The 24,901-nt window shown below is 45.8% G+C and overlaps 1 protein-coding gene across 4 annotated transcripts in view, besides 2 other annotated features; it reads right to left on the bottom strand.

Annotated features, from left to right (window-relative positions):
• Positions 1-3,006: 3,006 nt before the first annotated feature.
• Positions 3,007-24,901, bottom strand: part of ARHGAP36 (Rho GTPase activating protein 36) — a 31,540-nt gene continuing 9,645 nt past the window's right edge. Inside the window, exons 2-12 of one of the 4 annotated variants that reach the window (NM_144967.4) lie at positions 10,974-11,368; positions 9,662-9,727; positions 8,923-9,158; positions 8,485-8,677; positions 8,211-8,266; positions 7,828-7,978; positions 7,156-7,304; positions 6,803-6,979; positions 6,466-6,563; positions 6,227-6,333; positions 3,007-4,264 (exon numbers count right to left, since the gene is read on the bottom strand). In NM_144967.4, the coding sequence (NP_659404.2) occupies positions 4,107-4,264; positions 6,227-6,333; positions 6,466-6,563; positions 6,803-6,979; positions 7,156-7,304; positions 7,828-7,978; positions 8,211-8,266; positions 8,485-8,677; positions 8,923-9,158; positions 9,662-9,727; positions 10,974-11,226 (1,644 nt within the window). In that variant the 5' untranslated portion in view covers positions 11,227-11,368 and the 3' untranslated portion in view covers positions 3,007-4,106. Of the gene's footprint in view, positions 4,265-6,226; positions 6,334-6,465; positions 6,564-6,802; positions 6,980-7,155; positions 7,305-7,827; positions 7,979-8,210; positions 8,267-8,484; positions 8,678-8,922; positions 9,159-9,661; positions 9,728-10,320; positions 10,458-10,973; positions 11,369-24,901 lie in introns of those variants that run through there. The other 3 variants (NM_001282607.2, NM_001330651.1, XM_011531280.2) reach the window with 3 other exon arrangements.
• Positions 7,318-8,517: an enhancer, noted in NCBI's record as "MED14-independent group 3 enhancer chrX:130218349-130219548 (GRCh37/hg19 assembly coordinates)". NCBI's record gives its function as "activates an origin of replication core promoter dependent on BRD2, BRD4, P300/CBP and CDK7 cofactors, and independent of MED14, by STARR-seq in HCT116 cells {active_cell/tissue: HCT116}" and the evidence as "EXISTENCE:reporter gene assay evidence [ECO:0000049][PMID:35650434]".
• Positions 19,702-20,422: an enhancer, noted in NCBI's record as "H3K4me1 hESC enhancer chrX:130206444-130207164 (GRCh37/hg19 assembly coordinates)". NCBI's record gives its function as "activates a minimal SCP1, AML or CMV promoter by ChIP-STARR-seq in naive H9 embryonic stem cells {active_cell/tissue: H9 hESC(naive)}" and the evidence as "EXISTENCE:reporter gene assay evidence [ECO:0000049][PMID:30033119]".

The raw sequence follows: 24,901 nt of genomic DNA, 5'->3' as shown, positions 1-24,901 counted from the left end.
ACAAAAAATACAAAAAAAAATTAGTAGGGTGTGGAAGCATGCGCCTGTAGCCCAAGCTACTTGGGAGGTTGAGGCATGAGGATGGCATGAGCCCAGGAGACAGGGGTTGCATTGAGTCACAATCATGCCACTGCACTCCAGCCTGGGTGACACAAATGAGACTCTGTCTCAAAAAAAAAAAAAAAAAGAAGGAAGATACAGAATAGAACAGACTCTTCTTTCAATGAGTTTGACAAAAAGAGCAGTATAGCAATTGTTACAGGGTGATGACGGATCAAGGAATTGTTTCTAAGGATGAGAGACACTTGATCATGAGAATATCCTGAAGTAAGTGAACTAGTAGACAAGGAGAGATTTAAAAATCAGGCAAGAGAACTGAGATAATAGTGTAAGCAAGGTTTTAGGGGTGGGGGTAATGGAGAAGGAAAGCAGAGGAGAGACAGAGCAAGGGAAAAGAAACTAGAATAGGAACTTCTAAGCTGAAGGAGTGCTATATAATAAGAAGTAGTGCTATGCAATATGAAGTGAGAGTTAGTGAAGCCAAAAAGACCATTGTAGGTGTAGGGTCAAGGAGCTGAAGTTAACCTCAATCTCCTTTATGAAGTAGGAGTCTGAGCCATTGTATGGGGTGTGGTGAGGGTAGAGTGAAAGGGGCTGTTGTTTGAGAGGAGTGATGAAAATCTTGGAGTACAGATAGGATGAAAATTGGAGAAAGAGATGACCTAGGGTGTGTGAAAGGATTGCAAGGTGGCCAGAAGGGCCAGCTGAGGTTGGAAATTCTTGGGGTGCTGCTCCTTTCTCCCACAGTGGTTATTATGGAATCAGAGAAAACATTTGTTTGGAAAGACCGAAAATTGGAGATAAATAGTGCAGATGTGGTATTTGGAGGGCAAGGGGATGATAAGGCAGTTAATACTAAATCAATATGCCCCAAATTTTGTCTGGACAGGGAAAATAGTGAAGACAAAAGGAAGGTCTTGGGTACTGGATCCCTCAGGGAAGCCAAAGAGCAAATGGCATGGACCCAGCCTTCGTTAGAAGATTTGGGCCTCAGTGGGATATTGGAGTTGAAGCCACGCCCAGTGATGCCAAGTGACTGGGAGTGGTTGAGGTACTAAGAAGTTAAAGGTCAGAGAGGTGTGAGGCCAGGGTATATGGGGTAAGACTTCCATGTGTACATTGTTGGTGGCACCCAGAATAAGGACAGGACTTGGAGTGTCAGGAAGCCTGTGAGCTGGGTCCTTACAGTGTGGAGAACAGCAAGGATAATGCCCACATCTACAAACACTCTCAGGCCCAGTCCCTGAGGCTGGTTAGGAATTGGCACTGGGAAGAAATGTAAGATTAGGAGAAAACCTGGTTTCAGGGAAGGCCAGAGAGTGAAGGCAATGTTTTCAAATCTACTTTCTTCTTTGTTATCTGGTTTGTTTTGAAGCTGAATGGTGAAAGCACACATAAACTTTTCACAGGACATATTTTACTTTTTTGACCCCATAAAGTCCTGGAAATGCAGTCAGAAGGTCTGTCCGAATCTTACTCCCGGATTTCTGACCTTTCCCAAGTCTGAGCCCTAGTATGACTATTCACATAACAAGAAGGTTGGAATGGGTGAGCTCCTACATTTTCTTCTGCCTCTGATATCTGTAAGCCCCAGCTATAACTGCTAGAATCTGCCTGAAATATCAGTTATTGTCTAATAGCCTGTCCTTTCTGGAGAGAAAGGACCTATAAGGAAGAAACCTGAAACTTGCTTGTTGAAAGTCCAAACCCCAATATAAAAAAATTGCTGCAGACATCACAGTGCATCTTTGTGTCTGAGGCAAAATCCCAAGATGAATGGACCAGTATAATCTAGTGTTTAAACAAGCCAGCTTTAGAGACTGGCTGGTTTTCCACTAACCAACTGTGTAATTTGGGCAGGTTATTTAACCTCTCTGTACCTCATTTTCTTCAAGAGTAAATTGAAGATGACAGTAGCATATATCTCAAAGTGTTATTGTGAATATTAAATTAAATGATGAACGTAAAGTTTTTAACAGTGTCAGACACTTTGGAAGACCTTGATATGTGTTAACTATCAGGATTATTATTATTTACAAAATTTATTAGTGTAGGAGGGGACAATGCTACGAGTCTGCAGTCTGTAAAGCTCTATGCAAGGAAATACCCTAAAGCAAAGTGTGTAAAAATAAATAACACAAACCATTCCACTTTCTAAGGCCCTGTATCTAACATGGAAAATTTTCAAGTATGTCATGAAGCCATAAGTTTTCAAGAAAGGTTGGAAGTTTTATCAGTCAGACAGCAGTATGTTCTTCCTCTGACCCTTGGAAGTCATATGTCTGCCTATGTTTTTAGGATTTTATTTTTCACTGATTCGGGGGAACTTCTCAGTTGAAAATACCTAGTGGTCTCCTCATTTATTCCCCTCCCTTCCCCCTTATAGGCTCTCCTCTTAAGCTTCCTTTGCTTCCTCTACTTCTCTTTCATCTCCCCTTAACCTTTTCTACTTTAATAGTAATACTTCCACCCCCTTTATTCCATTATAGCCCTTCCCCTTTATTCTATTTTACTTCCCTTTATTCCACCTCACCCCCCATTTATTCCACATCAGCCCCTCCCCTTTATTCCATATCATCCCCTCCCCTTTATTCCACCTCACTCCACCCCCTCATTTCATGTCACCCCCCTTCCCTTTATCCCATGTCATTCCCTCTCTATTCCATGTCTCCCCCTCTCATTTATTCAACTCTATTCCCTCCCCTTTACCCCACATCACTCTATCCCCTTTTTCCCACTTCACTCCCTCCCCTTTATTCCACATCACTCCACCCCCTCATTCCTTGTCACCCCCTTCCCTTTATCCCATGTCATCTTCTTCTTTATTCTACATCACCCTGTCCTGTTTATTTCTATTCACCTCTCCTTTACCCCTTCAGCTCTCTAGTCAGAGCTTCCCAACTCACCCCCCAAATTAAAAAGAAGAAAAACACAGTAAGCCATGAATATGCTGCTGTCACAATACAGATGTTTATTAATGATTAAATGCCAGAGAAGTTTTAACAATCACAAATCTTTGAGCTCAGCAGTTGTTACCCATTAAATGATCAATTTCTATCCCTCAATACAATACAGTCTTCATTTTATGGACCTTAGCAGTTGTCATCCATAATATCAGCTGTAATTCTGGATCATATGCAACCCATATCTGTGTGTTACCAGAGCATGTCCCACAATTTTGTACTGTCCTGTATAAAGGAATTACAGAGACGATAGTTAAGAACATTTGTAATCAAGTGACTTTACCTACTTGGAACTATATGTCCTTACCTAACTAGCTGTTTTGCTGACAAGAGGGTGTAAACACCAATTGTCTTTAAAGCAGATCCAGGCAATAAAATCTAAATTTTCCTCTAACTTTGGATCCCAGAAACACTAATTAGACCTACACTTGAGGTTTCCCTGTTGGCGTGACCTGAGCAAAACTGTACAGAATTTTGGGAGAGGCCATTTGGCAAGCCATTGGTCTGAATAATTTGGAGGGGGAAATCCTAAGGTGGTGGAGTTGCTGCGTGGACACGGCTATGGGTTGGTGTGACATGATTTCGCATTAATTGTTTGTCAGCTGTCAGTAGGCTGACCTAACGTTCTAGCATGCCTCTTGAGGGCCTTTCCAACTGAGCTCTCTGGAGGAGGGTAGGAAAGTCAGGGAAATCATGCAATCCCATCTGGGGAAGGGAAAGCATCTCAAGATTTGTGAGGTTCCCTGGGAAAGGTGTTTACCACAAATGTCACATCAATTAAAGGAAAGTCTGCAGAGAGAGAGAGAAAGCCAAGATCAGGGGTAAAAGAGAAAGGCAAGGTAGCACCGGGGAGCTTGGGCATGACACAGAAACATCTCTGCTTTTACCAGCAGAAGAGACCAAGCATCCCCAGTGAAGGGGCTGGCAGTGTGTTTGGAATTCTCATCCTGACCCGAGCATCAGGTGGAACTCCTTCTTACCTTCAGATCTTTACCTTCAACTCTCTCCTTAATGTTTCCTGTGACATCCCAGATGTACCCCCACCCTTTTCCCCTGTCTGGCACCTTATAGAAGGAAAAACATCTAAGGAAAGAAGTAGCTGACGCCAGTTTTGGCCTCCTTCTCCCGGGGCACACGGAGCAATGGGCGGTCTTGCTCCGGAATGGGAGGGTTACCCGCTCCTTCCTCATCGTCATGGGAACGGGCAGTGCCGGAAGGCACAGCTGGCTCCTCAGAGGAACCTGAAAAATAGTAACAATGTTAACTCCTTATGTTTCTAGACTTTATACTTTGCGCAGCACCCAAGGCACTAAGACCTAATTTTGAGTTTCAAATACAGTATGAGGCAAGAAGGTAGGACAGGGATGATTATCCCCATTTGACATATAAGAATACTACAGCCTGACAGCAGAACACAGATCTCTGAATCTAGGACCACTGTGGGAACTGGGAAAAGAGCTGAGTTAGGAAAGAGAAAGAGTAAGACAGATACCCTGCGCTCAGAGGGAATGGACAATACCACCAGGGAGACAGGTAAGAGGGCGACCTCCTAATAACCACCACCACCCTACAAGTAACCTGACTAATTTTACCAAGCAAATGAGTAACAAAGCTAGAGCTGAAAGCTTACAGCACTGCATGGAAGACAGAAAGCAGGTGTTGCCCTTCAACACCTCTGGTGAGGACTTGTAGTCCATGACTTGGCCAGGCTGAGACTTGTTTTTAAGGAGAGTGGTATCTACAGGGAATGCAACATCTGCATCTTTATGAAACTGAATTGCCTTTGGATTCTGAACCTCTTTAGAGTTTAAATCTTTAGGCATTGGGACTTCTTCCACATCCATGACTTCTTCAAGATTGACAGCCAGGTCTTGTGGAGGGTCTGGAATTGTATTGAGAATGGAGACATCATCAGTTTCTGGAGCCATAGTGGTAACTTCTTCTTCTTCAAATGCACTGGCTTGGTCTTTCTGATAATCTTGAACTTTGTTGTAAATCTGGGCATCCTTAGGTTTTGGAGCCACATAGAGAACTGAATCTTCTTCAAGACTAGGGCTTTCTTCAGAGTCTTGGTTTCCACTAACATCAGAGGCTTCTTCACGTCCCGGAATTTCTTCAATATCTGAGGCTTCTTCGGTGTTTGGGACTCCACTCACATCTGAGGATTCTTCATGGTCTTGCATTTCATCAAAATCAGAGACATTTTCAGGGCCTGTGACTACATGGAGAGCTGGGACCTCTTCAGGGCCTGCAATTCCATTGGTCTCTGGAGCTTCTTCATGGTCTGGAATTTCTTCAGTGTCTGAGGCTTCCTCATCATTTTGGGATTCCATCAAAATCTGAGACCTCTTCAAGACTGGGATCTTCTTCAGGGTCTGAGAGTCCACTAACCTCTGGAGATTCTTCATGATTTGGGATTTCATGTCCACCAGGGGCTTCTTCAGGGCTTGGAACCACATAAAGAGCTGAGACTTCTTCAAAATCAAGGTCTTCCTCAGAGTCTGAAATCCCATTTACCTCTGGGGCTTCATAGTCTGGGATTTCTTCAGTATTTGAGGCTTCATCATTTGGAACTTCATCAACAGCTGGGACATCTTCAAGACTGGGATCTTCTTCAGAATCTTGGATTTCATCATTATCTGAAGCATCTGCGTGGTCTGGGATTTCATTGTTTGGGATTACATCAAGATAGGGAGCTTCTGCAAGGTTAAGATTTTGGTGGTCTTCAAAATCTGCTCCTTCTTCTAGGTCATGGTTTGAGTTTTCTCCAGGGTTCAGGATTTCTTGCACATCTGGGGCTCCTTCAAGGTCTGGGACCATATCAAAATATGGAATTTCTTCAAAGTCTGGGATCTCAATGAGTTCTGGAATTTCATTATCTGGTTCTAGAATATCTCCAAGGGGAGGAAGATCATCAAAATTTAAAGTATCATTATCATCATCATCATCTTCCTCATCAAGCTCTGGTATTCCTTCAAGATGTGGGCCCTGAATCTCAAAGTTATTTGGGATTTCTAGACCTTGAGCTTCCCCAAAGACTACTCCTTGATTAAGATATTCAAATACTAGCTCTTCATCTTCCTCAGAGGACTCATCTTCCTCAAGGGGCTCATCTTCAGCAACGACCTGGCCTTCAAAAAGGGCCTGACCTTCAACAAGGGACTGACCTTCAGCAAGGGCCTGACCTCCAGCAGGGAACTGACCTTCATCAGAAGGCTTGCTTTGAGCAAGGACAGCAGCCCGGGCTTCAGCAGAGGTTTCCACTGGATCAGAAAGTAGTGCATCCTCTTCCATCTTTATGCGTGCACTCCTGAATGGGAAGGATTTTGAAAAAGTCAGTTTGTGTACTTGCGTTACTTAATATAAAGATAGTCTGGAGTTGGAAAACCCCATAGGAGGAGGTACTTCAGGCTAAGCATAAACAAACCCAAAAAACACTCACTGGATCTTCCTCAAGTTCCTGCGTCTGATAAAATCAAGTGCTTCCGGGCTGGACTTCCACACGCGCTTAGCAACCTGCCTCTGAATATGGGGAGGCACCTGAGGGTAGAATTAGCAACATTAGCCATCATTACACAGCACCTTTTCATTTATACTCATCTCTTTCAGGTACCTAGGACTAAAGGTACCAGGGCCAGCTAATGTGGGAGGAATTTCTAGACTGGACGATCTTGTGGCTGCCTGTTTTGGCTACCCTCAAAGATGCAGGTACAACTGTGCCTTGCCTTGTGAACAGGAGATGGATGTGTAAAACAAGTGCATCCAAAACTTGCACCTACCTGGAAGAGGACATCCCAGTTATCAATCATGGCACGGACCACATTGACAGAAGCAACATAGTGATCAATCCCCAGCTTTGTTTTCCTGGACTCTCTCTTGCCAAACTTTCCTTTTTTCAGGAGAGCAGATCCAAACACCAAGGCCAAGTTAGTGGAAGTCATACGGTTGCCTGGGACCTAGGCAAAGGAAAGCAGAAAGTGATTGACGCTGAGGTAGTACTGGGAGTTGTACAAATGAATATGTCTCTTTTTATTCTTGTTTCTCTCTCTCCTCTCCATCCACCCTCTTGCTGATATACTCCCACATATGTCCCCTACTACAGTTTTCACTACTCTTTCCAAGATCTTTTTACCAACTGTCCATCAATGCCAATTGAGTCCTCGCAGTTCTCAGTGATTTTATGCAGGGCCTTCAGCAGACGCTCCAGGGTATCACTGTGGCAGGGTGGCATCAGGTAGACCAGCAACTGCAGGGCAGAAAGCTGATCCTGGGGCTTTAAAGCTAGAAGAAGGAAAACAGGGGCTGTCTCAGGGGGATAGTCTTGGCTGCAGACTGATACCAAGGGAGGTGAGATTCTGCTTGAAACTTGCTGGCAGTTATGGAGAAAGTACCCAGGCATCTTGCCTTTGCTCATTTCCAAAGCATTTGAGCTCAGGAACTCTGAAAGCAAGAAGTGCCCCCATAAAAACCAGACCTCCTCTACAGAACCTGGGTGGTTTTTTTTTTTTTTGACCTGAGAGGGCACACACATCTTCAAGAAGCTCTAGAGAAATTTCCAAGCAACAGACTTATAATGGAACATTTAGAAATACAAAGAAAGTAACCCAAATAAGTTTTTTATTAAAATTTTATTTTTAATTGACAAATAATAATTGTATATATTCTGGAGAGGTTTTTAAAATCTTCTTATGGTCATTTTGCCTTAGTTCTTCAAAGTCCTCCAGCCTGAGCTCTGTCCCTAGAACCCCCTAGACCCCAGTAATATTTCCTTTCCTTGCCCTACTAGGGAGGTCAGAAGACTCACTTGCTGTCAGGAGGAATGACATGTACAGATCATCTGGCAGCAGAGAATCCTTCATGTCACGGAAAAACTCCTTGAGGAGTGCAGCCACATCATGCACATTCTGATTGTCATCCAGCACTACATCCAGACCTTGATCAAATTCTTCACGGAGCTAGGAAAAGGAGAAGACAGGGACTGTCTGCCTGGCCCACCACAGCTCCATCTTGGTCATTCCTTCAACAGGTTCCAGTATTCAGTGGAGGTAGCTGGCAATATGGTGGGCCTGGGGGCTACAAAGAAGACCCTGCTCCTCCCCCCACCAGGTAGTCAGGTCTATGGGGAAACCCCACCTCCTCCTGCTCTTTCTTATTGGAGGAACAAACATGTAAACATAGCCAATTTACCTGACGCACTCGCTGCACGGAGTATTCAAGGGTAAAAATCCCCACTGCGCTTAAGCCTGAAAGAAAAGACCAGGGGATGCTAAGCATCTCTGAATCCCTTTCCCATGGCATTTCTCTTCTCCCCTCACCCCCTACTGCATCGCGACCTCCACTGGGTGTCAGGGGAATGTTATCCAAGCCCTTCATCCTCGGCCTCTTTTCTCCCCCCATTTCCAGAACATCCCTCCTTTCCCTTTGCTTCCTTCCTTGATTTACCCATTTGCAGCTCCCTTACCATGTTTTTCAATGAATTGGCAGCAAGCCTCAACAACCTGGGGGATTTGTTTCGCAATCGGATTGAGACTCATCTTCCTTTTGGATCCCAGAAGTCGTTGGCCAATTGGAAAGGAAATTTTTGAAAGCTGCAGGGTCTGCAGCAGCAGGGCTCCGTCTTCCAGCTCAGCCAGACTATCCACAGACACTGCACCCTGTGGAGAAATCCAGATTATCTTAAAATGGGAAATAAAGAGAGTCAATTAGGACCTTCCTGAGTACTGTATGTATGACATTCAGGACAAGATACATTCCCTTTGTGGCAAGCCAAGGACACCACTTCAACATATTGTGTTCAGCTCCCCCCTGCCTCTGAGGGCACAGGCCTTGATCCTCCGGCCTCACATTCCTGCATACCTCAGGAGAGGCCCCTGCCTGAAACCTGGAGGGTTTAACTCACTCGACGCCCACGGCGAGTGAACTCCCGGGGCAAGGTGGGCTCATTCCGCCTGCGACTGAAAAAGCGCCGGATGCGGCCAAACACCCTTCGCACCACGTTTCCCCGACGACGGCCCGCAGCCTGACCGGTGGCTTCTTCAACCTGCATCGTGGCTGTCAGTTCAAGATGCTTGCGGCGGGTAAACTCGTTCACCAGGACCTCTTCCAGGCTAATGCCAAATGTCTTGTGTGATACAGCTGGGGAGCCACGAGAGAAAGAATGAGAAACGTCAAAGCCTCGCAGCGCTTAAATCAGGAGGAAGCAGGGGCTGTAGCACTCCTCCCAGCAACCACCCGCAGCCAACCCCACCTCTCCAGAACCGCAGCGCCCCTCCCTGGGGAGCTAGCCAAAAAGACCCCGCAGTGGTTTGGCGAAAGGACTCAGCTCCACTCAACCACCCCGACGAGGCTCGAGGTCCCTGCCTTAAATTTTCCCTGGGGGTGACTACCTTGAAACAAAGAGGGCGATTTCTTCGGGTTGATCTGTGTGGGGTGAGTCCACCAGGAAGGTCTGAGAGGACCGCCCCAAGCACCTACAGCTACTGCGCCATTTCCTGATATCACCCACTGTGGGGTTTGGGAGCTGAGGAGAGTGTCCCCTGGGACAGTGGACGCCACCCAGTCTCCAATAGCCAGGGCCACACTACACAGGGGGTTAGCATTCTATTTCTTTTCTAAAGAAAATACAAGAGCCCCCTCACCCCTCTGCTGTCCTCTCAAAATCAGAAACCACTTATCCAAGGTGTTCGGACGGTCAATAGGCAGAGCTACAGAAAGAGAAAAAAGAAAAGATACACTTACAAATAGGACTTAATAAGTGACTAAAACATCCCAATGCCCTGATCTGCAGCAGGGGGAGGGAGCGGCAGAGAGGCGAGCTCTGCCCAGCGGGCGAAAAGTAATTTGCTTTCTATGAGCCTCAGTTTCCCCACCTAACAACAAGGACAAGCCTATCTCACTCTTATCAGACTCCAAGAATTTAACCAAACCAGACAATCTAATGCGCCGCGTGCGCACCGCGCATCTTGCTACGCACCCGTAGTCGCTCAATACAACACTTAAAACATAAATTCCGGGGCTCTGAAGCCCCCAGATCACGCAACAGGAGAGGGGAGGGAGGGGCTCTCCTGCAGCGCCACCGCGGGTGAGGGTCGCCAAGTTACTGCGGGCGCGCTCGCACCAGGTTGCCGTCGGCTCCCTGCGCTGCGGTAGGAGAAGCGGCGACACCTGGCTGTCCCCGCACTCCGAATCTGGCATCAGTGGCTGCCAGCGGGGGCTCCTCGCCCTTTGCTTCGCTCAATTCAAGCTGCGTTCGCGGTGCGCGCCTAGCGAAGCTGCCACCCCCAGCACTTTCCAATACCTCTGGGGCGCGCCTGGGTCCGCGCTAACCGCCTGGGCTCCGCTGCCAAATCCGCGCGCTTACCCCTGAGATTCCCTGGTGCACTCGAACCTCGTCCTGCGCCGCGTCCTGCTCGCTCCCCGGCAGCCAGCTGAGGTGGGCAGTGCTAGAGGCGCACCTCCTGCCGCCGCCCCCGCGCCCGCACCGCCCTCCCGTTCACCGCCCGGCTAGGAGCGTCTCTCTCTCACGCACTGTCTTGCTATCTCCCTCTACTCTCTGTCTCTCGACCGCGCTGTCTCTATCTCTCCCAGTTCTCTCCAGAGTGTCCCTCTGCGCTTCCGTCTCGCTCTGCCCTATTCTCGCACCGCACCTGCTGCGGCTGTCTCTTCACCGGCCCTCTGTCCACTTGTCTGTCCCTGACATCTGCCCGTCTGTCTTACTGCCCCCTCAACTCCCAGCCTTCGACCAAACTCAACTAATTTTTACCTCTTCCGCAATTCAACAAACAGCCTTCAACTCCGGCTTCTTCAGTTCCCCAGACGCCAGGAGAACTGATCAAGTCCGAGATCAGGCGTGAGCCCCTCCCACCCTGCCAGACCCCTAATCCGCCCCGTCCTGCCCGGAGGGTCCACTCTCCCGAAGGCGAGGATGCCACAATCCGGGGTACAGCTTACCTCTGTCAGGTTTGAATTCGGAGAGGAAATGTCTGGCCACGAGTTCGTGGTAAGCAGTCTCTTGCAGCTTCAGACGCTCCAGCTCAGAGAGGCTGTGTATCGATACCATCTTCGTCCTGCGGTCGGGGTTGTGTCCTGGGGCTCCTCCCAAGACACTCACTAAAAAAATGAAGGCGGACAACAACAGCAAAGGGGGCATGATTCTGGGGCACAGTGCCCTTGCTGCCTTCAGAAAAGGAATGCAGCCACCCATTCTGGAATCGGATGATTATCAAGGCTGCATCATCCAATTGTCACTGGACCTGGTGGAGAGAACTATGGGGGTGGGGGTAGAGGGGGAGGGAAAACTGGGAGGCGGCTTCACCCTCAAGCAGAGCAGCCTCTGGTTGTTTTTGCTAAAAAAGAAAAAAAAAATCCAACTTCAAAAATTCAGCCCTTAACAGATAGTCCAGGAAAAAGAAAACCTAATTAGAAAAAAAAAGTACAAAGAGAGAAAATAAGAAGAAAAAATAAAAGAGAAAAACATTTTTTAACAAAAGCACTTTGAAACAAAAATAAGATAGTATTTTCCATTAATTAATTAGTTAATTAATTAGAGCGTTTTTAGAGGTTTTTTTTTTTCTTTCCATGACGATACTCGATGCTGTCCAGGTTGGATAAAAAGGGGACTTTCATCTAGGTTAGGAGAGCTGCAAATTCAGACAAGTCCAGAAAACAAAATGGACACATGGGTCTAGAGCCAAAAATCGTCCCCAGGCCCTTTGACCTAGTAACTCCCCTTCTAGGAATCTATCCTAATAAAATCTTCCTACAGACAGGGAAAAGCATATCCACATAAACCATAATAGTAACAAAAAAAGGGAAAAAAAGCTAGCCCAGCAATGATATTAGTTATATAAATTTTGTAATGGCCACAGTATGGAAAAATTATGCAATCATTAAAGTTATATTTACAAAGAGTTTTTTAACAACAAATACAAAACACAGAATTGTATTAATTTTGATTGCAACTATGTGAAGAAAAACATGCATAAAAATAAAAGACTGAAGGAAATGCACCCAAATGCTAACAGCATTTGCATTAACTGGTGAGATTTTGTTTGCCTGTTGCTTTTCTCTATTTACCAAACATTGTACAACTTCATTATATTACTTTTTCATAAAAAAATCATTTGTACCAAAACCAACAAACATCATTTCCAGACCATTTCTAGTGAGACTCCTTAAACAGAATTGGTATCAAAGTGGAGTTTGTCTTAGTGTAATGGTAAAACCTATTTTATATGTGCCTTCTCCATGATGCCCACTATCTTATACTACTTCCAGACTACAAAGCATCCCCAATGGGGTATGCCCCTACACCTCACACAGCATCCTTTCCCGCACATTCTCTATTACTCATTTGTTCACTCATTCATTCATTCATTAAAACAAAAACCTGTATTAATTGCCCACTTTGTGCCAGGCGCTAAAGATTGAAAGGATGAGCAAGGTAATACTATTTCTTTTTTTTTTTTTTTAAAGATTTAACAGTGCAGTGAAGGAGATACACAAGTTAGCAACAATTTACAAAACCTTGTGATGTTAGACCTCCAAGATATAAACAAAGTATTGTGAGAGCAGAAAGGAGAAAACAGCTAAATCTGCCTGGAGACAGAGGAGGGGAGCATCCAGAGAGAACAGCTTGTGCAAAGGAAAAGAGATGGGAGAGAGGTTGTCATATTCTTGAAGCTGTATAAAGGGATTGGAAGGAGAAAAATCTGGATGGGCAGGGATGAGATCATGGATGGCCCTATAAGCCAGCTTAAAGAGTCGGACTTTTTCCTGAAGGCAATAGGGCTTTAGGCAGGGAGTGAAAGATTCAGGGTTGCACCTTGGAAAAATCACAGAAAGCCATGAAAAAGCCTGTTTTGGGTAGAGAGCTGGAAGTAGGTAGATGAGCCAAGAGGCAAGGGATATTGACACAAGTCAGTGTCACTAGGGCTGGAGTAGGGGACGAATCTCATGGATGGAACTGACAGGGCTTAGGGAACATCTTTAATTGCAATGGAAAGAAAACAATTTAGGATAGCTCCCAAGTTCATGGTTTGGGTAAATATGGCTGGTTCCTGATAGAGAAGATAATTCAGGAGATGGGGAACTAAACCTTTTGCCAAGAAAGGAAGTAGTTACATACAACTTTACTGAATGTCTCTTTCCCATGGAATCTACAATAACATTCTATATATGATTTGGGGGGTGGGGAGCTTAAATTTCAAAGATCAGGCAATGCAGCTTTGGCAGAGAAAAGTTAAGTAACGGTTTATCATGCAATAATCTAAATAGATGAGCTACCTTCTGTCCAAAAAAAAAAAAACAAAAAACAAAAAACAAAAAACAAACAAACAAATAAACCATACTTGAATTTTGTCTCCAAAACTCTTTTGCCTACTTCCCTTAGTAGCCAGGATCACAGATGTCAGAAATAGGTGCAGTAAGAGAAAAGATGAGGAGTTTTCCTGTGGCTTTTGAACTAAACCAAGAGGAAAACACCTAGCATAGATATTAAACCTTCAACTGCAAAGCTCCATCCCCTGGACCCAAAGTGAACACCTAACCCCAACCACCAAACTGCAACTTGCAAAGTGACCATTTTAACCAAAGGCACATGCATTTAACCACAGTTCCAGACTAAGCCTCTAGCAATTCCCCATTCAAAATAGCAGGTCCAGAGCCTATTAGTCTAGGGTCTCATCCTGAGACACACAGCCTAGCTCTGGCTTAATTTCTCTAACATTACTCCCCTCTCCCCTTTCCCCAATCCAGATATCTTTTGTACCTGTTTTGGAGTTTCAGCTATTTCTTCTTATCGAAGCTTACCAGATCTGATCATCCAAAGAGCAGAGCTGGTTTTTTCACCCAAAAATAAGATGAAAATCAGTCCCTTCTCTCCCCCAAATATAAGGTAAGAACAAACAGTAAAATCCCCAATCAACAACAGCCCCAAAAGGAGAGAGAGAGAAAAGCCTTTGAGAGATGAGTCAGCCTAGATGCTTACAATTCCGAAGGAAATCAAAGGCCTTAGAATAAACCGTTTGTCATTGCCTCCCTGCTCCAGCACACAGGGCTAAACTTAAGAGCAGTTATATGCTGCAGTTCTAACAGAAAAATTGGCATTGCCTTACTTGCTTTCAACCTTCTCAAGGTGCCAGTAGCATACAATACAGAAGCAGATTTAGGAAGACCAATGTCCCCAGACAAGAAGCAGATGGGTGGGGTGGGGAGGGGGAATGAGTAGGCAGGCTTTCGCACTATGAGAGAGGCACATAACAGGATCTTGAGATTTGAATACTTCAGGCCTGACATTTCAAGCTGAACACAAAAGGAGGCTCCCTACAGGAAAGAGGTGCCAAGAGACCTCTCTTGCTCCAAAGTGTTTTCCCCTTACCCCTTCAGTATACCATGGCACTAGCCTGAAGAGACCATGAGATTCAAAAGCAAGATGAAAGCAAACCAGCTCAGTTTCAGTCTAGAATTCAAAACATTTGCAGAAACACTATCTTTAGACAAATACTTTTACTAGTGTTAGAGCCAAATATAACTGAGTTCAAAGCCAGCCTCTAGATTTCTTAGCTGTGTGATCTTAAGAAAGTCAGTTGAATTCTCTGAGTCTCAGTGGCCTTCTCTATAAAATGGTGAAATGACACAGTATCCATTTCAGTGGTTGTCTGAGAGTTGAATGAATAATATTATGTGTGGTATTTAGCATTGGTTTTTAATAAACATGTTAATAGTGAAGGTTCTTTGCAGAGGGCTGGAGTTTACAAAAAAAATCATGTTTCAAAAGTAATTACATAAAATTAGAATTTGTATCAATCCATTGAACAATCTACTCTTCTCCACTAAATTTGAATTATGTAAAGAGATCTTAGGAGATTTTAAGGGATATATCTTTCTTCTTCATTCTCCAATTTCAGCAGAGTCAAGTATTTAAAAAAAACATTTTATAAAATTTAGAAAAACTAACTGCATAGGTTAATATTTCAAATGTTATTATTCAGATTAATAAAGTGCCTGTATGTCTCAAAATTTGTTTCTCTTTCAAGCCATCCAATTCTACATTGTCACTAGCAATATATATATATATATATATATATATATATATATATATATATGATTTTATTTGGATAAGTAAAGGGGCTAGAATATGAGCAGATATCAAGAGAGAGAATTTGAACAAAGAGCGGACAGGCACAAATCAAGTTTCCATCAATACAAAAAGGGGAAACACACTTGAATGGCATCAAGCCTGTTTCTCACGTCCTCCCAAAATGCATGGCACACAGATGGAGAAACAAATTAACGTCAGAAAGGTTACCCACTTCAACATTGTGAGGACTGAAATGGTTTCAACTAGGCATAAATCTACAGCCTTCATGATTTGGAGGACTAATTTACTCCATTACCCCCATAAAATAGTTAAGAATGGTGCAGTGCTTACTAGTAAACACCTATGGAAAAAAAAAAGCAGGGACTGCACTGATGCCATGGTTTAAATCCTTATAAATTAGGTACTCTATGGCATCACTAGAATTTTGGTCCAAGCCTCTGAGAGTGCCTCAAAGTTTAGGAAATTGATAGTGAATGGGGCTGGGTGCCCAGAAGGTACTGCATCTACATTATTCAAATGACTACAGGCAGCGGCAATGGATAAAGACATCCCCATTAATGTATCACAACATGGGAAAGAGATATGGGTCTCTATACGAAAACATTTGGGCACCAGTTTGGTCTGCTGACACATTAGCTTATTCATCCCAGAGCATTAATGAGTTAGCCTTAAAGTTGTTATCCCATAACCTCCATTTCAGCAAAGGCTGCTGATGCAATGAACAATATGGCTCATTTTATACAATGTGGTGATGACGCTCCAAGATAATTAAATCTGGGGATAGTGTTCATCAATACATTGAGTCAGCCCATCATGTTATAGCAGAAGGTCATAAACTAGAGGTAATATTACTGTTAAAATATATGGAGAAAAGCCCTGGCTTCAAAAAAATAAGAAAGTTTCAGAAACATTATAATATTAGAATGTTTCAGAAATAGGACCTTAGCCATCACCTGGTCCCAAACCTCCATTATACAGGTCAGAAAACTGAGGCTCACAGAGAGACAGGGGTTTTCCCAAGACCACACAGCAATTTGACAACAGAGCTTGGACAAGAACCCAGTTCTCTTCAGTCTCAGGGCTCTTGCCATTGACGCACCCATACTTGCTTTCACTAGCTGCAAGATTCTGCATTGCTAAATAAAGAAATCAAAAGAATACACATAATCAAAGCCTGATTCCATAAGCCAGGGTAGGTCATATCTGACGGCAGGCAGCCACCACATATTACAGCATCTTTGTAAAATAAGTACAGTCGTCATTCCATGGAATCCTGTTTTTAAATTTTATTGACTAAAGAAACAACTCAGGCTCAGGATGGTGAAAGGCAATTTTTATGCTATAAACATCCCAAAGGATAGTGTAAACAAGGCAATGTGACATCAAGTACACGAAGATACAGATATTCTCACTATTATCTGCAATATGTATCAGGGTGCATAATAGTGTTGGCATCACAAGCTGTGTCATGCATATCATTTTTTCCCCTTTTGGTTGCTGCTTCTATTAAATTGTGGTGGAAGAAGTTAAAAATAAAATGTTCTATCAATAGGAGGTAAAAGTTTTTAATGCCTAATTTGTCTCCTGCTTTTCATTTTCTTAAAAGCTTTCCATATGCCCATTATCTCCAGACCCTAGCACACAATAGATGTTCAATAAGTGTTTGTCGAGTGAATCACAGGATTATAAGCTCTTGAGAGTCTTGTAATTAAAACAGCTATTCGTGATTCATGAATAAATGAATCATGCCACTTTATTCTTACAATAACCCCTGGGAAAGAGGTAGGTTGGATATTTCCTCCCCATTTTACAATAGCAACAAACTAAGACTTTGGAGAGGCTGTGACTTATCTAAAGTTGCACAAAAATGCCATGGAGGAATATGATCTGGGAACCAGCTCTCCCTTCCTATCCCCAACTCAAGCCTTGCCCTTTCCACCAAACCATAGCAGTTCTTGGTATTCACCACCAACATCTGCTGCCTGGAACTGGGAAAGTCTAAACCAAGACTACCTTCTTTCCTAAGGATGTGGTTGGATTTTTGAGGTATTATTTTTATACATTGCTCTGTGCCATTCCGTGGGAAATGAAGATAGAAAGAAAGATAGATACATGGACACACACACACACACACACACACACACATATATATACACACATATATATGCGTGTGTGTGTGTTTATATATGTGTGTGTGTATATATATATTTACAGGAAGAGTATATATATGTTTTTGGAAAAAAAAGACTATTATGAAAGGTAGAGGAGAGGAGTTGACAGAGGAGAAAGACACCAAAAGCCCTGTGTAGGCATCTCACCATATTTCTTACCCCAGCCCACCCCCAACCTGACAGCATGGTATCCTGGCAAGGTCCTGTGATATAGACTGGAACTTAGCTTCAAATCCCAGCTTCACTCCATGTAAGTTTACACACTCACTAACTATGTGACAGAGAGCAAATTATCTTGCTTTTCTGAGCCTCAGATCCATGACCTTACAAAACAAGAATCATGGTACCTATTAAGTGTGGCTGTGAAGATAAAATAAAAGGGTAGAATGAAAGTGTTCTCCAAAGGGTACATTTCTATGCCAAGCAAGCAAACAAGCAAGGTGAGGAATTGCCCTCCAAAATACCTGGGAGCCAAACTTGAGAGGAAGACTTAGCAGAAGTGCTACTATCTGGAATGAGGCAGATAGTGTCCCCTGCTGAAGAATGCCTCTGTATCATCCTTTGAAGATGAAAATGGGTACTCACCCACTGTCAGCAGGAAGCACACTTCTAGATGGGATAAGATGAACTGTATTTTCACTGGGTCTTTCATGATCAGAGATGCAAGGCAGCTAACTGTGTGATATGTGGGGATTAGTCTAGTCTATGAAATGTAGATAAAAGCTAACTGGCCTACAAAATGGATTTAATCCTGAACTTTGGCTTCCTTGGCACAGTATGGAAGCCACCCATGCTAGAGATGGTGGAGGGAAGGGGAGAGCTACCTGGAGTAGAAAGCCCTTGTTCCTGCCCTGGGATCTCACAGCCTAGTCGAAGGTCACATAAATGTCAAGTGTCTGAAGACTATCAAGAAAGGCCCATGGGTTTAACATCATCTTTCTTGCACTAATTTAAATATGTTTCCTTTCCTTTGTTCTTTTAAGGAATATTAAGAATTGACTATTTCCCCAGGCCCACCAGCACTGGACAGATCCCTAGTCAGCTATAAGTTTTTAGTTTGCACTCTGTAAATTCGGATTCATTCTTCTTATCTCCCTTGCCTCTCTCAAAGCTTCCCTCTTTGAGACCTGCTCCCTTTCAGACACACACACACACACATATTCCCACTCACAGACATCCATGTACACACACACCCTTACACTCTCTTACATAAGCATTTTCCCTCTCTCTCTCTCTCTCACACACACACACACACACACTCACACACATACAAAATTCCCTTCTTCGATGTACTCACTACAAGAGAGGGAAAAAGGGAAATGAGACTTAATTAAAAGAAGGGTCATCAATATCTGCCTCTCCAGACCACATCTGTGGCTTCTACAGAGTGGGCATAAGAAATAAAGGACTGATGGGGACACTCCCGGAAGCCATCTGAACAGAGGCCATATCAAAGAAACCTTCAGAATAAGGAAGTTCTCAGAATCCGTGCTGAGAGCTTCTTCTCCTCCATCTTTGTTCCCCCACTCCTACCCCCTCTATTCTCCTTTGATCATATCTTCCCCAACAAGCATCCAATTTTCTGTCAGTTTTCTTTTTCAAAATCCTGTCTGAGTGGCTGTCATAGGGAACTGGGGCTGTGGGAGATGTTTTTCCCTGTAGTTTTCATGGCAGGAATGGTATTTTAAAACTACATTCAAATAAGCATATTTTTAAAAATATCAATATCTGTCTGTCTGTCTATCCATCCATCCATCCATCTATCCATCCCCATTCAAAATTGGACCACTCTCATGGCTATGACGCAATCAGAAAAATCCCTAGACCAGGAGTCAGGAGGCCTCCTCAGTTACTAAGCAGCTGGGTGGCCTTGGGCAAGTCAGAGAGCGTCTCCAAGCCCGAAACATACTGGCATAATTTATTATCATTCTGTTTATCTAAGGGCACTGTAGAGACACAACTCTCACGTCTGCAAAGTCCTTGATTCTTCCACTGGACTTAGCTAACTCCGGGACACAGGGCCACACGGCTGCTATTCGCAGTTGAAGAGAGAGCCCACCACCCCCAAGCCCCTCCAAGGGGCCAGAGTGCAGGGGACTGAGCCTGTCTCCACCTCCGACCCTCCGCCCGAGCACCCGTCCCGCTGCGTGCCCTCGGCTCTGAGCTAGGGACAGAGGTGAGGGTAGGGGGCTGCGGAATGTGCGCCCTCTGCCTCTCGGGGTTGCCCTGGGTCTCTGGCTGCCACTGCGCTGCAGAGCATGGCCTTTAGGCTGGGTTGAGGTGCGCTGCGCGGGTCCTGCCCCTGGGTAGCTCCAGGCAGCGCAGAACCTGTAAAGTTAAACAAAGCCCTGCGGCGCGCGGAAACCACTCACTGCTTCCTGCTCCTCTGAGAATTAGAAAAATTAAATCTTTCTTGCGCTCTTACGTTTGAGACATCGAACGCAAAAGCCTGGGCAACTTGTTCCACACTCTCAGGTCTCCTCTCCCTCCCTCACGTCGGGCCTTCCACGTGGAAGTGCCCTCACCTCCCTCTCTCACCCCGCAGTGGGCTGCGCTCAGGCCACTGGTGCCCTACCCCTGCACTACCTCTTGGCGAGCCTCTTGGTCCGGCCAGGGAAAGGCTGCGTGACCTGCTCGACAGTCCGGCGGGCGGCAGCGGGTAGTGCTGAGAGGAGCTGCAGGCACTGCCAGCGCTTGGCTCTGCCTCTCAGATTCCCCTACTCTCTGGAAAGCTTGCCGCGGTGAGGAGGGGGCTGATTCATAGCAATTTTCTACCCAGCAGCCAGCTCAGTGCCTTACGTATACCTGTTTGCTGAATTCTCTGGGCCACTCCCACTGGTTCTCACTGTACCCCACAATCTTCTCTCCCCTATTCAAAGCAGAGCTCTCCTTCAAGATTCAGCCCAAGGGTCCCTTCCCTCTGAATGCTCTGAACCTCCCCTCCCCTGGCCATGCCACACAATCTCACAGTACAAGTGAAGGAAGAGCAGAAATGGAGGTTCAGATGGTTAAGAAACTTACCCAAGGACACAGCTAATTAGTGGCAGAGCCAAGATGAAGGTCCAGAACTCCTGGATCCCAGCTCAGCACACAATTTGCCACAGCACTTTGCTTCCCTTCTGCCTTGACTGGTGTGGCATTTGAGGGCAGGGGACATTCTTTGTTGGCCCTTTGCACACAAGGACTGCACAAGGAATAGTCCTTTCCCCTCCTTGCCTCACTCTTTCTGCTTTTTGTTTCCCCTTCCTGTCTAGGGCCTCTGGTCTTCTTGTCTAGGGCCTCTGGTCTTCCAAACTCAGAGATAAAAAGGTCATTTTTTTCAAAGTTCAATGATCAGCAAGAGCAAAACAGAAGCTGACTTCACAAAGTCCTCCATCGACCTGGCTGGCAATGGTCTCCCACCCCTGCCCCCCACTACTATAGTCTTAATTTTTCATGTACTGTCTTCTTTGCATATCTAGGCACTTAGAGAAGTCAGGAGGCCATCTACACCAGCCCAAACCATCTTACCTTTTAATACCTCTTCCAAAAATACTCTCTTCTAAACTGCAGCCCACCAATCATATATACAAATCACCATTCAACCAAGCAAAAATATATAATTTACAAGAGCTTAATATTCTTATCTGATGCAACAAGGGCAATATGGGGTTATAATCACAAGATCTTAAGTGGGAGAATTTCAAATACACAATTACACCCCCCCCAATTGAATTCTCTCCTGTCTTGGGCCAAGTAAATGCACAAGGGACAGTGTTGTCAACAAAGAGGGACAGAAATGGAGAAGAAAGAGAAGAGTCAAGAATATAAGAGACTATGGGTGAGCCCAGCAAGAGGGAAACATGGGGAAGCAGAGCCTGGGCAAAGGAGAGAAGGAAGAAAAAGGAAGGGAAAGGATAGAGTACAGCTGCTGGCTCCAAGTATAGCTGCTGTGGAAGCCCAGGCAGACATGGACTTATTCTCCAAAGGCTCAGAGATATGACTCTTAGGTGCCTGGATTGGAAATAAGATCCAGAAGCCCAGTGTCAAGTTTCACTTATCCTCTAGTAAAGAGAGAGAGCGTCTGGCTCTAAGCAGCACTGGTGGTGCTCTTTTCAATTTAAGTGCCACCTCACCATCATTGCTACCATGATGAGGCCCTCGCCCTCCCCTCCCCCCAGAATTAAATAAATCTTACCCAACACAGGAGTACAATTTGAATACTCAGGACAATTTGCCCTTCCATTGAAGGAGAGGAGAGGAGAGGACCTCTCCCTCTCCTCCTGCTGTAAGTGGACTGGGTGCTGCCCCTTTATACATTCTAGAGCACCAGGTAAGTAGAGGGGGAGAAAGGGAGGGAGCAGCAGTTTGAGGCTGGTCCAATTTGTCCCTGGCATCCCCTCTTTCTCTGTCTCTCTCTGTCTCTGTCTCTGTCTCTCTCTCTCTCTCTCTGTCTTCTCTCTCTCCCTGGATTTTTCTGCAGCCCCTCCCTCTGGCCCTGGAAGCTCTGCTCCCCTTCCTCACTGCAGCATCCTGCAACCAGCACCCTGCAACCAGCACCCTCCACTGTGATAAAACACAAAACATTGGAGTACGTCTTTCTGGTGACGCTTGCTTTTTAATGTGAGATTTTAGACCTATATGCCAGGAAAAAAACTTGAGTTGAGGTGGGAGAGGGTGTCGCCGGAGAGGAAAAGAAAACCCACCCAGGTAACTAGCAACATGGGCTGGTATTGGGGGCAGCTGGGAGACACGATTTGAACCTGAGTACATAGGGATCCAATTTAAATAGAGGACTGGCATACTAGAAGAGGCCTGGATTACAGCGATTGCCTGGTAACATACATACACAAAGACCGCATGATATAGAGAGAAGGTAGATAACAAAATATCACTCAGCCTCAGTTTTCTCAACTGCAAAATAGGAAAATTAGTGCTCCAATAATACCGTGGAGAGGAATGTGTGAAATGACATAGGTGAAGTACCTAGCACTTACCTTGCCACTGAAGCCCAGAGAGGGGAAAATAACTTGCCCAAAGTCACATAGTAAGTAGCAGAGTCAGGATTGGAACCCAAGTCTCCCAAACATTCCCCTCCCCAGGAGTGTGCCAATGCTATCCTTGGGGACTTGGTTGTGGAACTGGGGAGGCAGGTTAGGAGCTGACTTTGTGCATATGAATATAGACGTTCTATCACTCAGTCCCAGCCTCAAGGGCTCAGGCTCCTGCCTCATCCCCCTTCTCATCATCACTCAGGTAATCTCCTCATGCCATCTTGGACTGATTCATTGCCACTTTAGCGCCATCTCTGCTACCTAACTGAGATGGTGAATCACCCTCTAGCTGGCCAGGGCCTCTGCCCTCCAGGAAAGAGGCTTTCTTCTTAGTTGCCTGCAGAAGCCTCAGCCGCAGTGAAGCAATGCTCTTCCAGACAGGCTTAGAGGTGGAGGGCTTTGAGGAGGAATGGAATAACTCTTTGTCCAATGGAATAACTCTTTGTCCAATGGAATAACTCTTTATCCAAAGCCACTGCCCTCCATCCCTGCAGTGCCTAGGGTCCTCTCTTTAGGTTCCTTATGATAACTCCTCATGTACCCTCGAGTCTCAATGTTTCCTAGGGATTTCACCCAGGACATCTCTTGCCGCCTGTATAGCGCTTGCACTGTGTGTCTGGCACAGCGCTAGATGCTGCTGGGACATAAGTTAACAGGAGACATTCCTGGCACCCAAGGAGTGCTCACAAGAAGTTTAAAAATATTACTGTGGCATCTCTGTAAGAAGGAAAAGAATACAAGTGGAGGTGAGTTAGGAAGTCCTTGTAAGGAGGGGAGGTGATGGGCAGAACAGCCTCATCACAAATCCAAGGATTGGAGTTGTGACCTGGATTCTCTTGTGGCCAGTGAATGGCATCACCAAATCATTGGTGCAGGCATTTCCCTTAAATACAGCATATTGCAAGTTAACTGAACTCCTGCCCGTCCTCTGTGTTTCTGGCCTGGCTTGGGAGCATCAGCTGGTGGCCATGTCCCCCCTGCCAGACTCTAATCCCCTTTCTTTTAAACTCCCATATCTTTATATTTTTGAAGAGGGTGGGGGAAAGAGGGAGGGAATGGACATCCTCTGTATGTTAACTGGAAGAAGTACTTCACATATGTTACTTCCTCTAAGCCTCACAACTACCCCGCGACCTAAGCCAGCGACTTACCACGTTAGTCAGCTAAGAAGTGGCAGAGCTGGGATTCGAACCTATAAAGAACTCTGAAGCCTGGGTATTTTTACATGACACTTTACATAATGCGCCACGGGGTAGTCGGAGGGGGAGGTCCATCTCCCTTTCCCTTGCTGTCCATCTCCACAGAAAAGAAGCAAGTGGAGGACAGGAGCCAGAAAGTCATCTGGCCGCGGATCATTCCGGAGTGACCCCCGCCGCCACCACTCGCATAGTCCGCTTATGGCGGGAGGGCACCTCAGAGATTCTCACAGGGGCTGTGCGGCCAGAACCAGAAGTGCAAAGCACCGTTAGCGACTCTATCGCCCCCTGCCGCCTGTGGCGCCCAGTCCGAAGCTGCTGTTTTCAGGAGGGCTAGTGGGCTAAGAAAAGAGCTCACCGACTGACTGCCCAACAGCTGTTGCGAGCCAGTGCTAGGCTGCAGACAGCCTTGCCAAATGTGGTGACATAAGCGGGAGGGGGGAACATTTAGAGAGCCCTACTATGTGTCCAGCGCGGGGTCGGGGATTTCTAATAGCCATTGCCCTTTACGTAGAAAATGTGATGCTTTGAGAAAGAGTGAGCTCTCCATTAAGAAAAGTCTTCAAGCTAGATTAGAACAGGCTTCGCAAAAAGCTTGTCTGCCAGTCTTAACTCCTTACTTCTTGAAACCAATAAAGCCCTCAACCCTTAACAGTGGCCAGTTCTCTCCAGTGGGGCTCGGGGGGTGGGGGCGGGTGGGGGCCGGGGAGAGAAGCACATGTCCTGGCTGAGGGTGGGGGTGCGGAGGGGGACAGAGGTCAAGGCAGTGAAAGGGCCAGGGGGAGGGTACTGGGAGGAGGAGCCTCCGGCGGGGTCGACAGTGCGCTGAGTCAGGGTCCCCGCGGAGACCTCGCGCCAGCTCGCTGATTCCCTAGACCTTCTTGTTTTCCTGGGTTCCGCCTGGATTTTCCTTGGATCCAACTCACTTACTCCCTTTGCTTGGGAATGGGGAACATGGGGGCAACACCCCAGGTCAAAAGGAAAAGAGCATCTGTGCCCGCCCCGCCTGGCTCGCTCATCCCCCCTCCTTTTTTCCCCTCCTCTCCTCCTCGCCCCCTTCTCTTCCGCCCAAAGGGAAGGCGGGGGCGGGCTGTGTATGTATGTATGTATGCATGTAAGCGTGTGTGCGCGCGCGCGGGTGCGGTAGATCTGTGTGTGCGTTCGGTGTGTGGCCGGGTGTGGGGGGTGTGTGCGCGGAGCACGTTTTAGCTGGAGTGCTTGGTGTGGTGTGTATTTGGTTTGCGCTTTGACATGCAGCATGTGTTTGTGTGTGCACGCTTATAGGTTGTATGTTTCTGCCCGATTATAGTGGGATTATGTGGGTGCGGTTTGAAGGTGGGTGTGTGCTGTTCCTGCCGGGGTTTGTGGTCGTGCTGTG

The sequence above is a fragment of the Homo sapiens genome, chromosome X, assembly GCF_000001405.40.
Source record: "Homo sapiens chromosome X, GRCh38.p14 Primary Assembly".
NCBI classification, from domain to species: domain Eukaryota; kingdom Metazoa; phylum Chordata; class Mammalia; order Primates; family Hominidae; genus Homo; species Homo sapiens.
This window is presented reverse-complemented; position numbering and strand designations above follow the sequence as displayed.